Source organism: Homo sapiens, chromosome 2 (assembly GCF_000001405.40).
Source record: "Homo sapiens chromosome 2, GRCh38.p14 Primary Assembly".
Classification (NCBI taxonomy): Eukaryota; Metazoa; Chordata; class Mammalia; order Primates; family Hominidae; genus Homo; species Homo sapiens.
In genome coordinates this window covers 78,781,416-78,793,815 of record NC_000002.12, presented here as the reverse complement: position 1 = coordinate 78,793,815, position 12,400 = coordinate 78,781,416, and the positions used below count along the sequence as shown (strand labels likewise).

Sequence of the window (12,400 nt, the reverse complement as noted above, 5' to 3'; positions counted from 1 at the left end):
CTCACTCTTGCTCCTGTAACAGATGCCGAGTGAATTGGGCCCAGAAAGGTCCAGGTCCCCTTCTCCCTACAGGACTTAAAGCAAATTAAGGGGGATCTTGGCAAGTTTTCAGATGACCTTGGTAGATATATAGAGGCTTCCAGAATTTCACCAAAATATCTGAACTCTCCTGGAGAGACATTATGTTATGTTTAAATCAGACCCAGATGGACGCTGAGAAGCAGTCCACTCTGCAAGCAGCAGAGAGATTTGGGGATGAGCTTCGTATCACATATAGCATCAGGGAAGGGGACAAAAATTATCCAACTGGAAGAGAAGCAGTACCAGTGGATGACTGTCAAAGGGATCCCAGTGACAAGATGGAAGCCTGGAAGAGGAGACACCTTTAGGTGTGCACAATGGAGGGTTTACATAGGACTAAAACCAAGCCTTTCAATTATACTAAGTTATTCATCATTGACCAAGGATACAATGAAAATTCCACTGCCTTCATGGAAAGGCTAAGAGAGTCCTTGGTAAAACACCTCACAATCTCCTGATTCAGTCAAGGGACAGCTAATCCTAAAGGTTACATTTATTACTTCAGGCAGCTCCTGACATCAAGTGGAAGCTATAAAAACAGGCCCTGGGACCAGATAGTACATTAGAGGGTCTCCTGAGAGTAGCTACCTTAGTCTTCTACAATAGAGAAAGGGAGACACAAGAAAGAGGCAGAAGCTTTAATGGCCACTATGCAAGCCCACAAACCCCAGAATTCCCAGGGTACACCTGTTAACTGCTAAAGATATGGCAAGAACAGTTATCTCTCTTCCAAAGTTTAACTGCTCCCATGTAAGGTTTAATTTCTTTCATGAAGGTGAAACAGCTTGGTGTACAATGCCGTTGTTAGTTTATATTTCACTTCTTATCTCTGTAATCTTTGGCACTAAATTCTTTACTTGTATAATACAAATGTTTAACTCACGCATACTTAACCTTATAAAGCTTGTTTGTTTCTCTCTCACTTAGAGGGCATCAAACTCCAAACAGGCATGCAACTGGAGCCACAGACAATGGCTCCCCTTTGCCAGGAACCCTTACATGGACCTTTTGGAGGAATCTGACTGCTGTTTTCCCCAAAACAATGCCCCCAGTCAGCAAAAGTAGTTAAGACCGGTCATCGTCCTTATTCTAAAGGCACTTAGATGTACCTCTTCAGAGGGGGAAAATGGTATGGGAAGGGGGCAGGGAGGTGCTAAGTAAAGAAAGGAAGGTTCCCTGGGGAGGGCTCCACCCTCAGGCCTGCACCCGTGGGCCTAAATGAGAACAGGTATTTCTGTTTTCACACCCAAAAAGTTGCCTTTTGGTCCTCCATGCCCCCATCCTGTGCCCATAAAAATTCAGGATACACACAAGTGGCTGGATGTTGAGGGGAGCAGAAGAACACACTGACAGACACACAAACACCAGCAGACACTGGCAGGCCATCGATGGCAGAATGATGCAGATGTCGAGGGGAATTTGGCCAGGGGCAGTTGGAGGAGAGTCTAGCTGCTGGGCAGCCAAACTCCAGGGGAAGACTACCTTCCCACTCCATCCCTCATCTGGCTCCCCATCCAACTCACTGAGAGCTACCTCCACCACTCAGTAAAACCTTGCACTCATTCTCCAAGTTCACGTGTAATCCAATTTTTCTGGTACACTAGGGCAAGAACCTGGGATACAGAAAACCCTCCGATCTTGCAATAAGGCAGAAGGTGTCATCAAGCTGATTAACACAAGCCACGTGCAGACGGATAAGCTGAAAGAGTGCACTGTAACACAGGCTCACTTGGGCTTCTGGAGTTATAAAATTTCACCTCTAGATGCTGCCATGGGGTCGGAGCCTAGTAACATTCCCCATGACTCACCTGCCTGCATGCTCCCCCAAGGAGTTTGAGCAGTGGGGCACCAAAGAAGCAAGCCACATCCTTGTCGCATGCCCTGTGAGGATGATAAGGGACCTTCTCTCATTTCAGTATAATCCCACGAACTTTTTAGATTCATGAGAAAGATGGTATCCCCTAATGTTTAAAGATGATGAACCCCAGTACCACCAGGATTAATGTGAGGATACAATTATTACCAGTAAAATTGTGAAAATCAGTGTAATTAATTCTAAAATTTGTGAAGCCTAAATTCTAATTTCTGTATTACTCAATGTTTCCTTTCAATGGGACTGTGTATATGGTGAAGAGGAAAACCGAAATTAGATATAGTTAATCTTGAAAATTTCTTACTTATGAATATATAAACTTTTCACTAACATAATAACAAATTTTGAGAATCTGTTATATGCCAAAACAGTGTTAGCATCTATGGATGATAGCTTTCTACATTTACCAAACGCAAACATCCTAAAATTGACAATGCTTTTTCTTGGAAATATCTGACAGAGACCATCCTTTTATCCCCTGCTCTTCATGCCCTAGGATTAAGAGACAGCCTGCTTTTTGTGTGAACTCTTAATTCCAATTACTCAACAATGATCCTTGTTTAACATTTTCCCTTCTTTTTAAACCTAGGTCAACTTTATTTATTTTAACTGGTGACCTAAAACATGTAGTAAATAACCACACTCTATACTTTCCCAGTTTCCTCTCCATTCTATTCATAATTTCTTCAGCAATACATTGTTAACTTATTCACATATTGACCTCGTAGTTACCCAGGTTGAAAATGCAGTAACATCTTGACCTCGCTGTTCTTTCTAATCGCCATATTGTTTCTGCTTCACCTCAGCAAAACTTGGATCTGTTCAGCATAACTATTTCTTATAAAACAGCTTATCTCAGCCTTCCTTTCTCTTATCCCTCACATTTACTAAAATTAATTTTAACCTCATTGAATTGTTTTCTAAATCCATCGTTTAAAATCTAACCACAGATCTATTCACCAGCAATCTCTTGGAGTCTTACATCAATTATATCCTCTCCATAGTCAGAATGCACTAGATGTTAGATTTTTGCAAAGCTCGTCTTCACAATCTGCAGTCTAGAGCAAACTCATTTCTCATGCCCGGGCCAGGCAGCAGTACTCATGGCCATGAAACTTCTGATCATTTCACTTTGCAGTCATAACATTGAACTTCATCTTAGTCCTTGCTAGTACTCAGAATTATTTTAGTTCCTTTCCTGCAAAAAAAAAAAAAAAGCAGTAGTTACATACAACTAATCACAATGAAATTATTGAATTAGCTATACTAATTATTGTTCTAGATGTTTGCCAAATTGGGCTAAAGTTTGCACAAGGTGCACTGAGGCAATTGATGAAAGAAATAATAAATACTTCAGCTGTCTCTTCATATAATTTCCAATTGAAATTAAACTTTCTAATTGCATATGTGCTCCTATTACTATTATCAGGAGAAAATCCAAGCAGGATTAGATAAAGTCAATCTGGAACTATGATATGAGAGACCACACAGATTGTGTTTAAGGAATAAGGATTTGAAGATAGAGAAAAGCTGAACAATCTGCCCAGGCTCTAAGTAAAAGATACTGATCAGTCAGCCAAGATGAAAACAGCTGTATACCAGAGAAAACTGTAAAGACAAAACCAGTTTAAAAATTCACAGAAATACACACAGAAGTCTCATTAGTCTCTCATGAATATACATACAAAATGATAAAATAAATGTTACTAACTACATATAAGCACGTATGTTTAAATACATATATATACAAAAGTATTCAGGGTACTTATGAAGAAAAATTCAAAAGGTTATGTAAGATTAATTACTAAGCAAAGGTGTTCCCTCCTTCAAATGACAACACTTGGCTTCAGAGGTTAGTTTACCAAAATTTCAAGAAGTTAATAATTTCTTTTTATGCAAGTTGCTTTAGTGAATAGAAAAATAAGGAAAACATCGAATATTCTAAAGTGTGCCTTTTTCCATATGGTAAGAGTTTTGAAAGTATGAGGCATCTGACGGTTGATGTGCTAAGGAAGCATTCTGTCAGACTTTAATTGGCATAATTGTATATAATAGCAATAAAATGCCAGTATATCTTATAATTGAATGACATCTTAGGTTCAATGAAATATCATAGTGTTATAACAGTTAATATAATATTGACACCTGTATTAATTTTCTATTGCTACATTAACAAATAACTGCATATTTGTGTGGCTTAATGCAACACAAATTCAGTATTATACAGTTCTGGAAGTCAGCCTTTCACTAGGCTAAGATCAAGATGTTAGAAGGGCTGGATTCTTTTCTTGGAAGCTTTGAGGGAAAATCAATTTTCTTGCCTTATCAGGCTTCTAGGGGCTGCCCACATTTCTTAACTCATAGCTGCTTCCATTTTCCAAACCATAAATGTCTGGTTGAGCTTTTGTCACAGGAAATCATTTCAACACTGACCCTTTCCCATCCTTCAAAAATCTTTGTAATTACAGTGGGTTCACCTGGATAATTCAGGATAATTTAACCCAGCTTAAAGTCAGCTAATTAGCAACCTTTATTTCATCTGCAACCCTAATTCTCCGTTGTCATGTAACATAATATGTGTATAAGATCTGGAGATTAGAACATGGACATTGGGCGGAGCCATTATTCTGCCTACCACAACACACAAATTGGATAAGACTAATACAAGAAAGTATTAACATACACCATATAAATGTAAGTGCAAAAATGGCAAAATAGTACTAACAAAATAGATTATAGGACTACATAATATATATAGTTCATATATGCATGGATTTATTATATATTATATATGTATATATCATAACTAGAAAGATTTATTATGGAAATACAAAAATGGCTGAAATAAAAAAATATATCATTTGTAAATCATTAATTATAAATTGTATTTATAAATTTACTATTAAAAATTATATAATAAAATTTAACCCTCCCACTCTAACAGATTAATAAAACACATAAAAATTTAAATAGATTCAAAGAAGATATTCAGTAAAATTTAACAGTACTTCATGATTTTAAAAATATGCTAGTAAATAGGATACAGTTCTTTCTTATCACAACTACTATAGCATGCATCATAATTTAAACAATAGTACAATATAAAGAAAAAGTGGGCCAGGCGTGGTGGCTCACACCTGTAATCCCAGCACTTTGGGAGGCCGAGGAGGGCAGATCACGAGGTCAGGAGATCAAGACCAGCCTGAAACCCCGCCTCTACTAAAAATACAAAAATTAGCCAGGTGTGGTGGTGCACGCATGTAGTCTCAGCTACTCGGGAGGCTGAGGCAGGAGAATCGCTTGAACCTGGGAGGCAGAGGTTGAAGTGAGCTGAGATCATGCCACTATATTCCAGCCTGGTGACAGAGCGAGACTCCAACTCAAAAAAAAAAAAAAAGTGTACATTTTAGAATTGATAGAATGCATTATTCGGTTACATCTCCTTCTTTATTTTACACTCTAAATTAGACTAGTAGCTGTCAATAGGAAAGTTTCTAATCATTAAAGTGAATCTAACATCAACCTAACAGTAAATATTCTACCTTATATAAAAACTTGTGATATGGTTTGGCTGTGTCCCCACCTAAATCTCATCTTGAATTGTAGCTCCCATAATTCCCACATATTGTGGGAGGAACCCAGTGGAAGATAATTGAATCATGGGGGCGGTTTCCCCCATACTGTTCTCATGGTAGTGAGCAAGTTTCAGGAGAGCTGTTGGTTTTATAAGGGGTTTCCCCTTTCACTTGGTTCCCATTGTCTCTTGTCTGCTGCCATGTAAGATGTCTCTTTTGCCTTCCACATGATTGTGAGGCCTCCCCAGCCACATGGAGCTGAGTCAATTAAACGTCTTTTCCTTTATAAATTACCCAGTCTCAAGTCTGTCTTTATCAGCAGTATGATAACAGACTAATACGAGTTGTATAGAGAATTAGCAACCAGATTGAATAGCTGCTGTCAACTCAGGTATTCAAGATAGTAATGAAAGTTCTAGTAAGCCAATTAGAGAATAAAAATAAATAAGATATAAAAAGTGCAATTTTCAAAACATTACTGAAACCCACAAAAGAATATCCAAATAAATAGAATGTTATAGCACAGACTATTTTAATGTTGTCACTTATTCCTATATCTTTAAATATAGGAATTTTAAAAATTCTGAAATTTTCCATAAATTCAATGTCATTTTAAAAACTTGCAAAGTGGTTTTAAAATTCACATGAAAGAGTAGAGGTTCAGGAAGAGCTGCAGTATTTTTGAATAAGAATATATTGAGAGTGTACACTTTGCCAATCACAAGATTCATAATTTATTTACTACAATTACACAGTTTGGTATTGTCACAGTGTTTTAGTCAGGGCTCTCCAGAGAGATAGAACCAATAGGCTACATATAAAGAGATACATAAGAAGGGATTTCTTAGGGAAATTGACTTACACAATTATGGAGGTTGAGAAGTCCCACCATATTCTGTCTGCAAACTGGAGAAACAGGGAGGCTGGTAGCATGGCTAAGTCCAGGTCCTAAGGCCTCAGAGCCAATGAAGCTGATGGTATAACTCTCAGTGTGAGTTGTGGGTGGGGTACTGATTCAAGTTCCAGAGTTCAAAAGCCAGAGAACCTCGAGTTCTGACATGCAACGGCAGGAGAAAAGGGCTTCCCAGCTTCTGAAGCGATAGCAAGAATTTGCCTTGCCCCTACTACCTTTCTGTTCGATCTAGAATAAAAAGGCACCATCCAATTGTTCCAGTCGATTGCACAGGACCCACCTACATGAAGGTGGATCCTCTCCACTCAGTCCACCAATTCACATGCGAATCTCTTGCAGAAACACCCTCAGAGACACACCTAGGCAGTCCAGTCATTGTAATCAAATGCCAAACCACCTGGGTTTCCCTTGCATCAAAAGAGGGATGGGCTCAGTTCTTACTAAAGCACTGAGAATAATTAATGCACTGATTAGGAATAAATAATACTTTGCCAGCTATCTGGGCATCTCTAATTCACTCAAGTTCATACTCCCAAATCAACCCTTATATGCAGCAACAAACAAATAGATGAGTGAAACAAAATTGTGAAATGAGAAACAGATCCACATATTTATGGAAATGTATGACAGGGCTGACATCACAAATCATTGAGGAAGGGAAGTGTAAATACTCAAATCTTCAGAAAGCATCATACTTACGAGTGAGAAGTTCAAGTATTTCCTCTAAAATCAGGAATGAGACAAGAATGCTTGCTAAAACTGATGATATTCAATAACATACTGCAGGATTTCCATGGAACATTAAGAAAACAGAATAAAAGACAAACATAGAAGTATTAAAAAGGAAAAATAAAGCTCTCATTAATTGTAAGTGATATGATACATGACTAGCAAAAAATGTAAATGACTTCTAGAATTAATAATAAAATAATGCAAATTTGCTATCAATGTCCAATAAAATTTTCATAGCTATAAAAGTTCTAAGGCACCTTGTAGTAAATATAAAGTGTATGCAAGACTTATATGGAGAAGTTATTAACTTTATTGAAAGACATTCTAAAAGATAAAACTAATGGAAATATTTACCATGTTAATATTTAGGGAGACTCAATATCATAAAAGTATTTATTCTCTTCAAATTTAATGTGATTTTAATCAGAACTCACCAGAAGTTTTTATGCAAGTTGGTAAGCTAATTTTACAATCCGTGAAAATTGCCAAGAAGCAGAATTCCCATGACATCCCTGGAGAGAAAAATGAGTTAAAAGACACTTGTTCTCTCAGGTATTGCAACTTTTATAAAAATATAGTTATAAAGACTATGGTATTGATTTAATAATTACTTCAGAAATATATTGCTAAATAATCAGAGATTATATACACGTGCATACACACTTATATGGATACAGGTTTTATTACAGTGAAAAGGAATAAAAAATGCCTAACAATGGGTGTTTGGTGTGATAAACTATATTTATGTGATTTACTGAGATCTCATTTAAAACCAAGATTTAGAAGGAAAATTTAAATAACAGGATATTAGTCAAAATATATTGTTTGAAGAAAAGATCACGTTACCTAAACAATTGCAGCATGATCTTGTTTTGAAATATAAAATGTGTGTATATCTCTATATAGTTATATAGACATAGCTATGCATATGAGTGGAATATGCAAACCAGATATGTACCGATTTTCTTGTGTGTATAGTGGGAATAAGGTGCCATGTGGGCTTTTAAATTGTATTTGTTTTGCAAGCGTTCTCCTTTGAGATGGGTCATTTTCCTCAATAAATTAATGAAAATTATATTATTTGGATAAAACATTAATACCATGAAAAAATGCTTAGATTTTAAATTAAAGCTTTAAAAATATTTGTAAAATAATACACAGCTAATCATTTACATCTTACATAAGAAAAATTAAAAAATTATATATGCGTATGTTTAAGCTTATAGAGTTATCATTTGGTATCTGTGGGGAACTGGTTCTAGGACTCCCACAGATGCCAGAATTCATGGATGCTCAAGTCTCTAATATATAATGATGTAGTATTTGCATATAACCTATGCACATTCCCTGTGATTTTCGTCATATCTCGATTACTTGTAGTACCTAATACAATGTAAATGCTATGTATGTGACACTCCATTTTTTTCTTTGCATTATTTTTTATTGGTGTGTTATTTTTTCTGAATACTTTTGAGCTATGGTTGGTTGAACCCATGGATGCCAAACCTATGGATCTGGAGCACCAGCTGTATTTATTTTTCTAACTTTTGATAATTTTTACTTTTACATTTTTTCTTATTTCTATTTTCACATAGATGAATATCACAGCCACTTTGCTCAGGAATATCCATCGAGTGCCTGACAAATGTAACAAAATAAAAAAACATAGGCAGGGTGTAGTTATTCTCAGTAGATTCTTTGCTTAGATGGTACCTGTAAGGGTTAGAATCTGAGTAAAGAGGCAAAATACTCGTAAAGACAGCAAAAGGCAAAGAAAATGACCATATTTGAAATGCCTAGTAAACACCACTACACAATTATGAAGTTTACATTTTATGACTACAAGGGAGAAAAAGCAATGACAAATCAACAGGCTTAGGCTCAAAAGGTTTTTTTGTCCTTGTAGCCATAAATAGCTTAAATCTGAGTCATACTCACAATGCAGCATCTAAGGCTGCACTTTTCAACATTTTATTACTGCTAAATTTTCCTATGTGTTAAATATCATTAAAAGCAAGATAAAATTCATGCACTTCATTGTGTATAATAAAATGAATATGTGGAGCTAAGTCTTGTTTTTGTTTTATGAATTTTGGCCCATTTTATCTAATGATAGCTTGAGCCTAGCCAGAAGAGTTTAACAGGATTTCTAGAGACTCTCTTTTTTCCCACTTTGTGGTGGAATGTCATATGGATTTCACTTAAATGAGTAATTAAACTCCAATAGGAAACCTTGGTAACATTTGAAACTGTTTTGCCTCATATGTCATGAACCTCTTCTCACCATGAGAAGAAAAATACTTTCCAGCTCAAATGACTGCTTGGAACCACCCTACCTAAGTTTAGAGAAAGAGGTTTAACTAACCTAAAAAACAAAACCAAAAAATTCTAAGAAACATTAAGTCTCCAATTTGCAATGAAAACCCTAAAGAATCCAAATCCTTGAAAATATGCAGACACATTGCTTATCACCATTGCACAGGCATGGGTCTTTAATCTCAGTCTCTAAGACTGTTGCTCTATTTTCCACCACCAGCTTTAGGATGCCCATACATCGCACTCTTCAGCATCTGCCCAGTTTTCTGTTGAGCATTATTGTCCCCTAAAACCACAGCTTGATTATCTCACTCGCGCTGCCACTTTAGTAATTCAAAGTCCTCTAATGTTCTTCACGTATCAGTTTGCTTTGCACATCTTGGGGGTTAGGAAAATATCCACAGTTCCGTGTCATTGCATCTTTTAAAATTCTTTCCTTGCTTTCTCTTTCAAAACAAAATGAAACAGAAAAATATCTTCTTCCTTCTCCTTTCAGAATTTCTATATTATGATTAAATTCTTTTTCCCATATTTCATCGTGAAACTTCTCTGACACTCCTCACTGTTAAAAAACAAATGAACAGGTATACTACATCCCAGGGTGGGGGGGAGCCTACAAAGGAGACACGAGTAACAGAGAACACCTTATTTTCTATTAAATTGATACTTACCTCAATACTGGTTAATCTACTGTAAGTCAAATTAATGCTATGATGTATTTAGTAATACTCCTATTTCATAGACAAGAAAAAAATGAAACTGAAATTTAATAAATTGTTCAAGATGACAAATATCAGAGCTGGAACTTGAGTCAACTTTCCTAATTATAAATAGGTTATGATAGTCATTAAATGACATATTGAATGTTCAGTGTCAGCGGCTCTCTCAAAAATGCCTGGCACAAAGCTAGCTGGTACTTGTGGCTCTCCTTCTCCCGAGCAGGTGGGGCACCCAAAACTTTTTTTTTTTTTTTGAGACGGAGTCTCACTCTGTCGCCCAGGCTGGAGCCCAGTGGCGCAATCGTGGCTCACTGCAAGCTCCGCCTCCCGGGTTCATGCCATTCTCCTGCCTCAGCCTCCCGAGTAGCTGGGACTACAGGCACCCGCCACCATGCCTGGCTACTTTTTTGTATTTTTAGTAGAGACGGGGTTTCACCGTGTTAGCCAGGATGGCCTCCTCTCCTGACCTATTAATCCGCCCGCCTCCGCCTCCCAAAGTGCTGGGACTACAAGCGTGAACCATCGCGCCTGGCCCAAAACCTTCTCTTTACAGAGGCCCCTAGGTACCATATCAGCACATGCTTGCTACACCCCAACGCATCTCAGATACGCAAGGCTTGCATGCTCATGCTTTAAAAAGATTAATAAGCAGATGTGTAGGGATCCCCTTTTGTAGCATAACCCACAGTATATCCAGACTACCCTAGCCTCAGCATGTCTCTCTGCTAGAGGATACTGCCTCAGGGAACTAAATGTTTCATCTTCCTAACCCTTTGCTTTAGAGTTTCTTCAATAGAGTCTATGTCTCTTTCATCCTTTCTTTCTGAGAGGTGTGGCTTTTGTCTTCAATCTCCACTACATAGCATGTAAAGAACCCAGTAATTAATTACTTGATGTGTGTTGGCAGTGATAGGTATATGATTGCTATTATTATCAAAGTAAACTATCATCTAGAATTTTTAATCTGTTTCCCTTTGCCATGATTCTAGGTATTTTCATGCACCCTTCACTTTGCTGAGGAAGTCTTTACTTTTCACTCTCGAGAAAACTCCTATGCCACCTTTGAAACCCAGTTGAAATTTCACTTCCTCTATGACTTCTCAAATAAGTTTAGACACTAATTTTTCTGTACATACTAATTTTATAGTATGTACCTCACAGTAACACATCGTCACGTTGCAGGTAAATACACAACTCCCCCACTAGGCTGTCAGAGCCTCCTGGCAGAGGTGAGTGGTCTACCCAAAGGGATTAAAAGCACAAAGTCTATACAATGTAAACTTGTTTTATAGTCCCTTTGTCATTCTGTTTAGCTCTTTATTGATCCACAATATATTTTTCCTGTATAGTTGGTGGTAGAAGCATTGAAGACATATTTTATAGACATTAGTGTGAATTTTCTCCTCCCGATGTCTCAAACTGTCCTAAAAAGATTTAATGACATAAAACAGAATCTGTAGTTTACTTTAAGGATGCCACATGAATTGTCTAGAGAGATCTCTTAGAATAAATATATTTTTTCACAAAATACAGAAGCCAAGTCACTTGCTGTAGATTGGCAACATTCTAGTGAAAAAATAATCACCCTAGCAATAACAAATACAAAATGTTTAGCTCTGGGCATATGCTATGTTTTTTGCCAAGGCTCTGACATAGCATTTGTTATCATATTAGTTTTCCTCTAATCTACTTGCAACCCCAGTACTATCTGAAATATATTCCCCCTTTTGATCAGAATGAAGAATTATTTCCAACTGATAACGATCAGGTGAAAAAGCATTTGTCTTTTCATTATTTTGAATAAGCATTCAGGTTTGTAAAGGAAAACATAAGAAGGTAAAATGTATTGGGTAACTACCCAGTATCAGAAATTATGTTCACTTAAGTATGTATACAAATAATGAATAATGATCGATAAAAAAACAGACAGAGGTTTTGAGATCTCAATTACTGTGGTCAGCACTGCCCTTGGGACACGTGATTGTTTTGAAAAGGTGAAAAAAAATCTTGTTAAATTTTCCAAAAACCAAAGTATAATATTCCCGAGATTTACATGTTATTCACTTTTCTGAAAATTTCAAGTATGTTAAAACAATGCAAAAAATATTAATTGTACAGTGGAGATATATTCCACATGCATTTTTCAGTGAATGATTAAAAACACTCTTTCCTACTAGGTACAGCCTGATTC

At 36.7% G+C, this 12,400-nt stretch overlaps 1 long non-coding RNA gene across 1 annotated transcript; it reads right to left on the bottom strand.

Annotated features, from left to right (window-relative positions):
- Window positions 1-2,322: 2,322 nt before the first annotated feature.
- LOC105374821 (uncharacterized) lies at window positions 2,323-7,820 on the bottom strand. Its single transcript, XR_940275.2, has 3 exons — window positions 7,609-7,820; window positions 7,142-7,222; window positions 2,323-3,152 (listed from the first exon to the last, which is right to left on the bottom strand). It is a non-coding gene; the product is annotated as an uncharacterized LOC105374821 (long non-coding RNA).
- Between the last annotated feature and the right edge of the window lie 4,580 nt (window positions 7,821-12,400).